The sequence below is a fragment of the Homo sapiens genome, chromosome 1 (assembly GCF_000001405.40).
Source record: "Homo sapiens chromosome 1, GRCh38.p14 Primary Assembly".
NCBI lineage: Eukaryota > Metazoa > Chordata > Mammalia > Primates > Hominidae > Homo > Homo sapiens.
Window position 1 is genome coordinate 110,018,017 of NC_000001.11, and position 13,540 is coordinate 110,031,556.

Genomic DNA, 13,540 nt, shown 5'->3' on the forward strand with positions numbered 1-13,540 from the left:
GTAAATAACTTGCATAGAGAAGTGTTTATTCAGAGGCTAAATCTTGAAAGTAGTCTGAGTGACTTTCATACAAAGGAGGTGAGACCTCTGTTCAGTATAAAGGTCTCAGAACTAGAATAAGCTATCAGAACCTTAACATGTTTTCCAGAGTAAAAAACTTTTTTCCCTGGTGACTTTTTATACTGCTTGATCTGAAGACCAGATAGCCTAAGGAGCGGTTATGCATGTCTTCTCTCAGAATGTCTACATGTTCTTTAATGCCAGCAAGCCTCTGGTCTCCTATGTTCTACCTGAAAGCCAGCCAGTACCTTTGTTGCCCGGCATCTCTTTCCTTAACCACCCATCTTTTCTTTTAGGAAATAAGAATGTAGTGACACGGGAGCACTTGGATCGCATGAAAAACAGTTGTATCGTATGCAATATGGGCCACTCCAACACAGAAATCGATGTGGTAAGGCTTCTCTCATTTGTTGCTAGGCATTTCTCTACTACCTTTCATTAATAACCATAGTCAACTGTGCTTTCTTCCTTTCAGACCAGCCTCCGCACTCCGGAGCTGACGTGGGAGCGAGTACGTTCTCAGGTGGACCATGTCATCTGGCCAGATGGCAAACGAGTTGTCCTCCTGGCAGAGGTACACACAGAGAAGGACCCTGGCAGAGCAGCACAAGCAGAGTAGTTAGATCTATGAGGGGGGAGGGGAGGGAAACAAATATTAGGCCTATGTTTCCCTGAATTTTATCTTTGGAGAGAGAGATATTTCACAAATTGGTCCCCAAAATAAAACCACTTTAAAAAAATCTACTTTTTACTAAGTAACACTATTTCCTAACCACAGCTGATTCTTTAACCTTTCAGACTCAGATGGATTTGCAGAAAATAGGAAAAAGCCTAGAGTCCTGATCTGGAACTGTAATTCTTCCTCTTCCAACTGAGTCTAGAGGGGTGTAAAGTCCTCTCCCGCTTTGGCTTGACTTGTATGCCATTGGAATCTGAGACAGAGCTCATCCCAGGGCTCTCTCTTACCTTTCCAGGGTCGTCTACTCAATTTGAGCTGCTCCACAGTTCCCACCTTTGTTCTGTCCATCACAGCCACAACACAGGTATGTGGCAAAATGCCTGCTTACACTGCACTGCAATTTGTGGAACTGGGCGTAGATCAGTTCCAGTGAGGGTGTACTGTACTATGTTCTCATCATCCTATTCTTTTTTGATGTAATAAATTGTGGAAACAGGTATTCTTAAGTATAGAAAAGAGTCACTAAGTCAGTATTCGTTGAATTGGCTGTTTTAGTTGAGAATATAATGTTCCAGCTTAGTTTTATTTGATTTGTTCTTTCGTTAGGAACTAAACAAAAACAACAAATCCTCTTAGGATGTGTGCTGCCCTTTAGTATAGGCAAAGTCCTAGGTACTGTGACTGTGGTAGATCACTGTAGTACTTACCCAAATGCTGTTTAACCTGGTTTTATTTTTATGTGCCTGTCTAAGAAATATTTTTGTGCTTTCTGGCCTTCTTTTCCCACCTTAGGCTTTGGCACTGATAGAACTCTATAATGCACCCGAGGGGCGATACAAGCAGGATGTGTACTTGCTTCCTAAGAAAATGGGTGAGTGAAAAACAGTGGAAATCTATGCAGACAGCTGCATAGTTTGGTAAAATGACTGCCATGAAAGGCATTGGATTTAGAGTCAGAGTTCCAATTCCTGTTCCTGTGCTTACTGGTTGTTTGACCTCAGGACAAGTTCTAATCTCTATGATCCTCAGTTTCTTGATTGGTAAAATGAAAATAATACTACATACATTGTAGAATTGTGTGAGAATCACAGCTAATGAGTAACAGTGCTTAACACAATGGTTTAGGGAGATGTTCTTACTCTAAGTAGCCTTATGAAGTTCAGTAAACTTCCCAGTGCAGCTGAGTACATACAGCCTTGGAACAAAATGAGAGAAACAAACACAGGTTTTATTGTCCATTTTCTGTGAGGATATGCAAACCATCCAATCTCTTGTAAGCAACCCATGCTGTGTTCATGTGACATAATACATCATCTCTAGTCCTTTGCCTTTCTGCACGGTGTACCCATCTCCCATATCTCCTTGGCTAGCCCAAATCCCTGACTTCTTAATGCTAAAATACTTCTTGCTCTCCTCTCCTCCAATAGCTTACTTCAGACTTTTTTTTCAGTGTATAATTATAAAAGGGAAGCTTATCTATGGAAAAGTAAAAATTCTGTGCCGACTACCTTAGAAATTCATGATCCTAAGATCCATGGATCTTATCCTAAATGAGTGTTATTGACACAGGGTCTTTCTAGCTTACTGGTGTCCACTTTGATTGCTAATTTGACTATAATCTAGTTAAGGAGGTTGCTGCAGGAAGGTAGGAGTAGCATGTGACATGTGGGCCACTGCAGGGAAGCCCCCTGCTTTGCCAGAGAAGGATAGAGAGGTAAAAGCCCACTCCCTTTTGTTACCCTGGTAAGTGGCTTTTCTGAACGCACTGTACATGTGCTGAGAGAAGCATCCTGCCCAGAAAGGCAGCTTTGAGGTTTTTTTTTTAATTAAGCAAATATTTCAAGTTGTGGATTCTTTCAGAGTTATTCCATCCCTTGTCTGCTTTCTTAAAAAAGCTTCAAATGAAAATGGGAAGTTATAACTTGAGAGACATTTTGAAAAGGAGTCTGCTCTCCTGCCACTTTGCTCTTCCTAGATGAATACGTTGCCAGCTTGCATCTGCCATCATTTGATGCCCACCTTACAGAGCTGACAGATGACCAAGCAAAATATCTGGGACTCAACAAAAATGGGCCATTCAAACCTAATTATTACAGGTAACCTGGGGAGAAGCAAGTGAAAAGCTCTTTTTCCCAGTATTAAACCAAGCAGGCTAGCCTGCTTCTGACATAAAGATCAAATGTTGTACCTGATTTTGAAGAATACAAGAAATCTGTTCCAGGCCAGGCACGGTGGCTCACGCCTGTAATCCCAGCACTTTGAGAGGCCTAGGCGGATGGATCACTTGAGGTCAGGAGTTCAAGACCAGCCTGGCCAACATGGCGAAACCCTATCTCTTAGCCGGGTGTGGTGGCGGGCACCTGTCATCCCAGTTACTCAGGTGGCTGAGGCACGAGAATCACTTGAACCTGGGAGGCGGAGGTTGCAGTGAGCTGGGATCATGCCACTGCACTCCAGCCTGGGTGATGGAGTGAGACTCTGTCTTAAAAACAAACAAACAAACAAAAAAACTGTTCCAGTTAACAAGGTAGATAGAGAAATTGTGGGAGATATCAGGGAGTTAGGGTTTTTTTGAAATTTTGGAGCCTGGGCCTCACCCTAAGAGATTCTGATATATTTGGTCTGCGATGGGACCAAATTTACAAAACATTATTTTGTAAAACCTCCCCAGATTATTGTAATGTTTAGTCAGGGTTGAAAAAACACTGACTCATTCCTGGGAACAGGCGGTAACACCAGAAATGGCATTGTCAGAGACCCTGTGGAAGAATAAGGGAGACTGGTGCCCTGGGGAATGACTGCAGGGATCCCACCCAGGCTGGGGAGGGGCCCTGGAGAAGGTGCTCTGTTTCCGATTGTTTTTTGGAATTCTCATATGGAAGACATAAGTGTTAACCAATCACTCTCTCTCTTTACAGATACTAATGGACCATACTACCAAGGACCAGTCCACCTGAACCACACACTCTAAAGAAATATTTTTTAAGATAACTTTTATTTTCTTCTTACTCCTTTCCTCTTGATTTTTTTCCTATAATTTCATTCTTGTTTTTTCATCTCATTATCCAAGTTCTGCAGACCACACAGGAACTTGCTTCATGGCTCTTTAGATGAAATAGAAGTTCAGGGTTCCTCACTCTAGTCACTAAAGAAGGATTTTACTCTCCCAGCCCAGAAAGGTGATTCTTTCTTTACCATTTCTGGGGACTTTAGTCTTAATTAGGTACCTTATTAACAGGAAATGCTAAGGTACCTTCTCTGTGGAACAATCTGCAATGTCTAAATCGCCTTAAAAGAGCCCATTTCTTAGCTGCTGAAATCAGTGCTCTTTCACTTCTTCAGAGAAGCAGGGATGGTACCTACCCGGCAGGTAGGTTAGATGTGGGTGGTGCATGTTAATTTCCCTTAGAAGTTCCAAGCCCTGTTTCCTGCGTAAAGGTGGTATGTCCAGTTCAGAGATGTGTATAATGAGCATGGCTTGTTAAGATCAGGAGGCCCACTTGGATTTATAGTATAGCCCTTCCTCCACTCCCACCAGACTTGCTCATTTTTCGAGTTTTTAACTAGACTACACTCTATTGAGTTTAATTTTGTCCTCTAGGATTTATTTCTGTTGTCCAAAAAAAAAAAAAAAGAAAAGAAAAATTAAGGAGAATTTTTGGTGTTAATGCTGAGGAATTGCTTGAGTGGTTAGTTGTTACCAATTTCTCTTTTGAACCTTTGGAGCTAAGGATGCTGAGTCTAGAGAAATGCTAGTCTCAAGCCCTGTTAAGTCCCTCTGTTTCTAGCCCGTAGTTCATAGCATCAGTGAACTGGAGCCACAACAGCAAATTCTATCAGCTGTGTACCATACAGCTTGTGCTGAAGGCGAATTTCTTGAGCCATTACTCAGTATAAAGCACTGAGTTCTATCTTTAGGATTTATCTTTAAGAGCAAATTTCTGGTCAGCTGTGCTTCTGCAACCTAAAATATTTAAAGGGAGGTAGGTGTGGGCAGGAGGAGGAATGATAAATTGGGCCAGGGCAAGAAAAATCTAGCTTCATATAATTTGTCTGGGACTATACACCCTATATAATGTTAGTTTTACAGAAGTAATATGACTTTTGATTGCTACATACCACAAAGAGTTTATGAACTGAGATCATAAAGGGCAACTGATGTGTGAAGAAAGTAGTCAGTACATCCTGGCTCATGCTCTGAAAGAATATCCAGAGAGGCTCTCTCAAAGATCAGGGAGATGTATTCCCATGCCATGCACCCTGCTTCCCAGCATTTCTGCATGGTCAAGTGAGCTTTATGCTCATGAGCTTTAAGTATATAATTATCCAGGATTTTAAATCCTCAACTTGTTCTAGCTTGTGATCCCTCAAAGTTGGGTCATACGTTAGTGCTAGATACTAGAAATTTTCACTTTTCCACTGATCAGAGAGACAGACATTAAAAACAAAAATAGAAGAAAGGAAAGCTTTCACCCTGCAGCTTCTTAGCAGGGAACAATTGTCTTGCCAAAACTTTTTTCCCTTTTCTCTCCCATTTTCTTTTACCCAATCCCTTCTTACTCCTTGCCAGTGTGACCATGCTTTCTTCTCTGTAGATGTTAACAGTTAAGGCCTATTTTCCTCGGGCACTTAACCAACCAATCAGAACACCACATCTGTTAGGGGAGGTAACCTGGCCAACAGTGTATCCATCACGTTAGCCCTGCTGGAGGGAAGGGACCCACATTCACCTGCCCTCTGACCTGCCCCTTGATCCCATATCTATTACCGTGTCCATAGGAATAATAGGTAAGGGCTCTGTCTCTGTCAAGCCATGTAACAAAGGACACTGTTAAAAAAAAAAAAAAGTCTGGCATCAGAGGGAGCATGTGGAGAGCAACTTGGGAAGAACAAGTTCATTTTGTATTGAATGATTTTTAATGAATGCAATATTAATCCTTGCAGATGAGCAATAATCATTAAAATCGATTAAAATGATAAGACCTTATTGGCAGTCCGTATGTGTCATTCTTTGTTAAACAGCAAAACTTCATTAGAACCTGTTTTCTAGGGTGTGACAAGTTATAGGTCAGTAGCATTTAATAGAGATTTGTTGAGGGCCTAATATATAGAGGCTGGATACAGGATTCTTCAAAGTAATACCTGAAGTTTTGTATGCCTGCTCTGTGCCAAGCACCGGGCCTGGGTACTTTCACTCCTAACTTCCTTCAGGAAGCAGACTTGCTGCTTAAGCCTCAGGGTTCCTCATTTGCATAGTCCTTCTAAGACCTAATTTCTGAAGAATGCCCCCAAAGTTATGTAAGCTTCAGCCTCCTCCCACACCTGTATCCATTTCTGAAGTGGTCTCAGTGTCTTTTTTTTTTTTTTTTCTCTTTATTTTTTTGAGACAAGGTCTCACTGTCACCCAGGTTGGAGTGCAGTGGCTTGATCTCAGCTCACTGCAACTTCTGCCTTCCGGGCTCAAGTGATCCTCCCACCTCAACCTCCCAAGTAGCTGGGACCACAGTGTCAGCTAATTGTTTGTATTTTTGGTAGAGATGGGGTTTCGCCATGAAATCTAGGCTGATCTCAAACTCCTGGGCTCAAGTGATCCTCCTGCCTCTGCCTCCCAAAGTGCTGGGATTACTGGCCAGTGTCTTCTGATGTAAGAAAGTATTTATCTTGGTCAGTTTCTGCTGCTCCAGCAAAATCCTGAGACTGAGTAATTTATAAAGAACAGAAATTGATATTCTCACAGTTGGAGGCTGGGAAGTCCAAGGTCAAGTCGTTGGCAGATTTGGTGTCTGAAGAGGGCTGCTGCCTGCTTCCAAGATGGTACCTCTTATGCATCCTCATATAGCAGAAGGTAGAAGGGCAAAAAGGACCTAACTATTACCTCATATATGCCAAAGTCTGTTTTAGATACTGGGGATACATCAGTTTAAATCAGATGATCTCTTCCTTTGTGGTGTTTACGTAAAATTCCAACAAGATCCAAATTCCTTCCCTTTTTCCTTTACCCACAATTTGGCCATTAGGTAAGACAGAGCAAGCTAGGGATTCATGTGGATTTGCAGCCTGTGAGTGTGGGTGGTATCCTTGTGGGAACTGGGGATGTAGCTTGGTACAAGGAGTCAGATCCCAAGTGGCGTGGGGAATGCATCTATGCAGGGGATGAATGGCAATGGCAGATTAGTTAGGGATAAGGGATTTGATCACTGTACGTGAAAATATTAAGGGTAGCGGAAGCCAGCTGTCTCATTTTGGAGGAAGGTGTTACACATTGGAAAGGGAAAACACTAGAATGAACTCTGCTGTTGGGTTTGAATAGGAGATGATAGTGTGAAGTCATAAATATCAACCTAGTTAAAGAAATACAGATGTCAATGTACGTGTGTGTGTGTGTACAAACACTCCCTAGCTCTCTCTACTAAGCAAGCCTTGGAGCAGCAGTTCCCCTCTTCCCCCAGTGCACATACCTGACCTCGAGGTCTAGGCACTACATTCTCCACCGAAAGAAGCCAGGACTCGTTGGAGAGATGACTGATTCCATGGCAGAGCAAAAAAAAGTACAAGATAAACCAGAAAGCAAGGAAGGCCTTAAAAAAGGATACATAAGCCAGCTGTAAGGGATTTACATGGGGTAAATCTGAGACAACCTGAGCATCAGCATAGTAATGATTTGTAATCCATTGAACAAAATAGAAAACTATGACTCTGCTAATAGAAATGAATGAGTAAGTAAACAGAAGTTTAATGAGGAATTGTATATGTATATACTTTTTTTCTAATTTATTTATTTATTTTTGAGATGGAGCTTCACTCTGTCGCCCAGGCTGGAATGCAATGGCATGATCTTGGCTCACTGCAAACTCTGCCTCCCGGGTTCAAGCGATTCCTGTGCCTCAGCCTCCCGAGTAGCTGGGATTACAGGTTTCCGCCACCACACCTGGCTAATTTTTGTATTTTTAGTAGAGATGGGCTTTCACCATGTTGGCCAGGCTGGTCTTGAGCTCCTGACCTCAGGTGATCCACCTGCCTCAGCCTCCCAAAGTGCTGGGATTACAGGCGTGAGCCACTGTGCCTGGCCTATGTATACTTTCAAAGTAGCCTTCCATAAAGTATTTCTTAAATAAAATAATGGGGAAAAGAGTAGCTTCACAGTAGTGAAGTCTGGCTGGCAGACCACCTTAATCAATGGAAAGAAACGAACTTCAGTAATGGGACAAATCTAGATCTTCACAAGATCTAGACAAATCTAGATAAGTTGCTTGAGAAGAACACAGCATCCCTTCTTTTTTTTTTTTTTTTTTTTTTTTTTTTTTGAGACGGAGTCTCGCTCTGTCGCCCAGGCTGGAGTGCAGTGGCGCGATCTCGGCTCACTGCAAGCTCCGCCTCCCGGGTTCACGCCATTCTCCTGCCTCAGCCTCCCGAGTAGCTGGGACTACAGGCGCCCGCTACCACGCCCGGCTAATTTTTTGTATTTTTAGTAGAGACGGGGTTTCACCGTGTTAGCCAGGATGGTCTCGATCTCCTGACCTCGTGATCCGCCCGCCTCGGCCTCCCAAAGTGCTGGGATTACAGGCGTGAGCCACCGCGCCCGGCCAGCATCCCTTCTATGACAAATCCACATTGAAGGACACTTTACAAAAGGACTGGCCTATAATATTCTAAAGTATCAAAGTCAAAGAATGACTGAAGAACTGCAGGAGACTAATACAACAACTAAATGCTATCCTGAACTTGTTCATTTTGCTATATAAAGATACAAAGGACCTTATTGGGACAGCTGGTAAAACTTGAAAGGGCTTGGAGGATGAGACGATAGTAATATCTGTTAATTTCCAAATGTTAATGGCTGAACTGTGGTTATAGAGAATGCTTGTTTGTAGGAAATCAACACTAAAGTATTAGAAGTGATGGGTTATCAAGTCAACAATTCACTTTCAGATGGGTCCGGAAAAAAATTATTTGTAATATACTTGCTACTTTTTTGTTAGTTTGATTATTTCAAAGTTAAAATTTTGTTCAATGAGAATTTGAAGATAAAAAAGTCAGACCAGCTTGATCAAGAAAATTTTAAAAATCAATTGTGCTCTATTTAGGGACATCTTAGACCAAAAATAAAGGTGAAGCCTTTTGGATTAGTAAAGGAGAATAAAAATCAACAGAAAAACAGTATTTCACATGTCTATACAAAAAAAGTATTTCATTGACAATACGTCACAACTAAAGTAATACACAGACCTGGGGGTTCGACAAGAAAGTGGAGGCCGGTACAGTGGCTTTCTCCTGTAATCCCAGCATGTTGTGAGGCCAGGGTGGGAGGGCTGGTTGAGCTCAGGAGTTTGAGACCAGCCTACACAACATTAGTGAGACTCATTTAAAAAATTAGCCGGGTGTGGTGCTGCACGCCTGTAGTCCCAGCTACTTTGAGGGCTCAGGTGGGAAGATTGCTTGAGCCCAGGAAGTCAAGGCTGCAGTGTAACCCTGATCACGCCACTGCATTCCAGCCTGGGTGGAAGAGTGAGACCCTGTCTCAAAAAAAAAAAAAAAAAAAAAAGTGACGAGTGGGGTTGCAAGAAACTACTCCAGAGTGTTCCTTGGTTATGGATACTGAACAAAGTCTTCCCCACCAAATAACTTCTGAATTCAGGACATTTCTAGAGAAATTTGTAAATTTTGAAAGAACGTAAAAGAAGAATTAACGTCGGTACTTCTCTGCTAACTGGGTATGAAACACTGGGTTAGAGCAATGGTTGGCAAAATTATAGCTCTCCCACCAGCCAAACCAGCCTACCGCTTGTGTTTGTGTAGTTCACAAGCTAAGAATGGTTTTTACATTTTTAAACAGTTGGAAAAAAAATCACCAATATTGTGTGACATGTGAAAATTATATAAAATTCAAATTTTAGTGTCCAAAAATGGAACTTTTATACACAGCCCCACTCATTGATTTATGAAATGTCTATGGCTACTTTCATGCCACAGTGGTAGAGTTGAATAGGTGCAAACAAATGGCCTACAAAACCCAAAATGCTTACTATCTGGCCTTTTACAGAAAGTTTGCTGATCCCAGGTATAAAGGTTGTGTCAAGTATGAAGGGAAAGATGTATCAGAATGTGTCTGATTTGCAGTCTGTTAGGTAAGAAGAGGGATCTCTGTGTGAGAGCAGAAACAGAGAATGAACATATTAGAAAGAAAAGGATATCAAAGAGTTTTCCAGTCTAGGTTGCAGATGCTAAATTCACCTGCATCCTGGCCAGGATTCACTTTAGGATTAGGAAATCTCAGCAAACTGATAAAGCAACTCAGATAGTGCTTGGGAAGGTAATTGTTATTGCAATTTAGAATATGTACTTGAGTAATCAATTTAAACTTGCAATTTTAAGTTGCAACCAATTTTACATACAGTATTGGAAATTTATATTATGTATTGGAAACATATAAGTACACAGTATCAGAACTTTTAAGAATAGTATTTTGGCCAGGCATGGTTGCTCATGCCTGCAACCCCAACAGTTTAGGAGACCGAGGCAGGCGGATCACCTGAGGTCAGGAGTTCGAGACCAGCCTGGCTAACATGGTGAAACCCCGATTCTACTAAAAATACAAAAAATTAGTCGAGTGTGGCGGCATGTGCCTGTAATCCCAGCTGCTTGGGAGGCTGAGTCAGGAAAATCGCTTGAACCCAGGAGGCGGAGGTTGCAGTGAGCTGAGATTGCACCATTGCACTCCAGCTTGGGCAACAAGAGCAAAACTCTGTCTCAAATTAAAAAAAAAAAAAAGAAAAAGAAAAAGAAAGAAAAAAGAATAGTATTTTGTTTGCTTTTATTTTGTTTGTATTTTGTGCCAGACAATTGAAGTAATCCCAAAAGGTAACTTAATATATTAAATGTATAAACATATTTGAAAGGGTTTAAAGGAGTTTAAGTTTTTAAGTGGGGTATTCAAAACCCCTTAGAAGTCATTAATATTTGCTGGGTTTTTACAATAAGATTTATAAGCTGAACTTTTTTTTTTTTCTATTGAGACGGAGTCTCTCTCTGTCATCCAGGCTGGAGTGCAGTGGCGTGATCTTGGCTCACTGCAACCTCTGCCTCCCGGGTTCAAGCGATGCTCCCATCTCAGCCTCCTGAGTAGTTGGAACTACAGGCATGCACCACCACTCCTAGCTAAGATTTTGTATTTTTAGTAGAGATGGGGTTTCAACATCTTGGCCAGGCTGGTCTTGAACTCCTGACCTCAAGTGATCTACCCGCCTTGGCTTCCCAAAGTGCTGGGATTACAGGTGCAAGCCACCGCGCCTGGCCTATAAGCTGAACTTTGAAAAGCTTAAGTAATGTTTTTGTTACTTTAATATATTGAATATTAATTTATTAAGCTGAAATAGCATCTCATCTGTCCACACAGGCAGCCCTTGAAGACATTTTATTTTATGATTATTATTTTTTTGAGAAGTCTCACTCTGTTGCCCAAGCTGGAGTGCAGTGGTGCAATCTCAGCTCACTGCAACCTCCACCTCCCAGGTTCAAGCGATTCTCCTGCCTCAGCCTCCCGAGTAGCTGGGACCACAGGCGCATGCCACCACGCCTGGCTAATTTTTTTTTTTTTTTTTTTTTTGGTATTTTTAGTAGAGACGGGGTTTCACTGCATTAGCCAGGATGGTCTCGATCTCCTGACCTGGTGATCGGCCCGCCTCAGCCTTCCAAAGTGCTGGGATTACAGGCGTTAGCCACCCCGCCCGACCTTTGAAGACATTTTAAAATGTCCTTAGTAGAGACGGGGTTTCACTGCATTAGCCAGGATGGTCTCGATCTCCTGACCTGGTGATCGGTCCGCCTCAGCCTTCCAAAGTGCTGGGATTACAGGCGTTAGCCACCCCGCCCGACCTTTGAAGACATTTTAAAATGTCCTCCAGAAGGAATTGTCCTGGGTTGTGGCCCTGAGGGTACTTGTCTTTGATCCAGGCCTTTCTTCCTCATCTGGCTGTCTTGTGGCGTAGCTCTCCACTACAACCACCAGATGGCGCGTTTTCTCATGTGATCTGGTTGTCAGGGTCTCTTGCCAACAAAGGATAATAAAATACAGGTCTGGAATTCTTTCTCTGAATCTCCTATGTTTTGAAATTGAGAATTTCCCAGGTGTTTAGGAAATAGTTAAAGACACAGTATATTACATAATACTTTGACTTAATCTTTAAAAAAGTTTTTCTGTTTAGAGACAGGGTCTTGCTCTTTCTCCCAGGCTGGAGTACAATGGCAGGATCACAGCTCACTGCAGCCCAGAACTCCTGGGCTCAAGCGATTCTCTCACCTCAGACTCCTGAGTAGCTGGGATGACAGGCGCGCCACAATGCCTAATTTTATAATTTTTTTGTAGAGATCAGGTCTCACTATGTTGCCCAGGCTGGTCTTAAACTCCTGATCTCAAGTGATCCCTCCACTTTGGCCTACCAAAGCGCTATGATTACAGGAATGAGCTACCATGACCAGCTTTGACTTAGTCTTTTGACTAATTCATGTTTATATAAGAAAGCTGAGATTTTATAAGTTAATCTGACCTGAGACAGAGTGAAGCTGGCTGGTCCCTTTGGAAGACAGAATTAACTATTAGTTATCTGCCCTATTAGTTAATTAACCAAAACATTATTAATATTATCCTCTTCTCATAACCATTAATGGAGAGAACTCCATGTGACACAGTAACTAGAGGGTAAGACTGGACCCACAGATGTTTTATATGCTATACAGATTACTTTAATACTGAGCATTTCAGTGACCAGCAATGTATTTACAGTCCAGGGCTAGGATGGAAATTGCTAGAAACAGGCTCACTCTGCATCCCAGCATATACTTAGGTATCAATGAATGTGAAACATCTTACCCAGTACCTGACACCCTGTAGGCACAGAATACATGCCAGTTTCCTTCTACAGAGCCCAACTGGAGCAGCCACTATGTTCTTGCAACTCCTGCAATACTAGAATGGCTCAAATAGGAAATTTCTTCCTCCAGTCTCTTGAACAATGACTGCTCGTGGTGAAGGAAGGGCTTCTCACCTTGGGTATCACCTCTTGGTAATAATTCTCCTTTTTTTAAAAAAACAAACCAACAAACAAAACAAACAATGCTTTATAGTTTTCTCTTTTCTCTTTCTTTCTTTCTTTCTTTCTTTTTTTTTTTTTTTTTTTTGGAGACAGAGTCTTCCTCTGTCACCCAGGTTGGAGTGCAATGGTGCAGTCTCGGCTCACTGCAGCCTCTGCCTCCCAGGTTCAAGCGATTTTCCTGCCTCAGCCCCCTGAGTAGCTGGGATTACAGGCGCATGCCACCATGGCTGAAAATGTTACAGGAAAGGGTCTCAATCCAGACCCCAAGAGAGGGCTCTTAGATCTCTCACAAGAAAGAATTCAGAGCAAGTCCATAGGGTAAAGTGAAAGTAAGTTTATTATGAAAGTGAAGGTATAAAAGAATGGCTGCTCCACAGGCAGAGCAGCTCCGAGGGCTGCTGGTTGCCCATTTTTATGCTTATTTCTTGATTATATGCTAAACAACGGGTGGATTATTCATGCCTCCCCCTTTTAGACCATCTGGGATAACATTCTGGTGTTGCCATGGCATTTGTAAACTGTCATGGTGCTGGTGGGAGTGTAAAAGTGAGGAGGACAAGAGGTCACTCTCATCACCATATTGATTTTGGTGGGTTTGGGCTGGCTTCTTTACTGCAAACTGTTTTGTCAGCAGGTTCTTTATGACCTGTATCTTGTGCTGACCTCGTATCTCATCCTGTGACTAAGAATGCTCTAATATCCTGGGAATGCA

At 42.2% G+C, this 13,540-nt stretch overlaps 1 protein-coding gene across 7 annotated transcripts in view, besides 2 other annotated features; it reads left to right on the plus strand.

Annotated features, from left to right (window-relative positions):
• The window catches only part of AHCYL1 (adenosylhomocysteinase like 1), a 38,978-nt gene extending 33,252 nt beyond the window's left edge, over positions 1-5,726 (plus strand). For 5 of the 7 annotated variants that reach the window (NM_001242673.2, NM_006621.7, NM_001242674.2 and 2 more), the window contains 6 exons: positions 357-451; positions 536-634; positions 1,035-1,103; positions 1,532-1,610; positions 2,715-2,835; positions 3,658-5,726. In NM_001242673.2, the coding sequence (NP_001229602.1) occupies positions 357-451; positions 536-634; positions 1,035-1,103; positions 1,532-1,610; positions 2,715-2,835; positions 3,658-3,664 (470 nt within the window). In that variant the 3' untranslated portion in view covers positions 3,665-5,726. Of the gene's footprint in view, positions 1-356; positions 452-535; positions 635-858; positions 1,104-1,531; positions 1,611-2,714; positions 2,836-3,657 lie in introns of those variants that run through there. The other 2 variants (XM_011540535.3, XM_047440112.1) reach the window with 2 other exon arrangements.
• Positions 2-1,201: an enhancer, noted in NCBI's record as "BRD4-independent group 4 enhancer chr1:110560640-110561839 (GRCh37/hg19 assembly coordinates)". NCBI's record gives its function as "activates an origin of replication core promoter dependent on BRD2, P300/CBP, MED14 and CDK7 cofactors, and independent of BRD4, by STARR-seq in HCT116 cells {active_cell/tissue: HCT116}" and the evidence as "EXISTENCE:reporter gene assay evidence [ECO:0000049][PMID:35650434]".
• Positions 13,131-13,270: an enhancer, noted in NCBI's record as "active region_1459". NCBI's record gives its function as "activates an Ori minimal core promoter by ATAC-STARR-seq in GM12878 lymphoblastoid cells {active_cell/tissue: GM12878}" and the evidence as "EXISTENCE:reporter gene assay evidence [ECO:0000049][PMID:35858748]".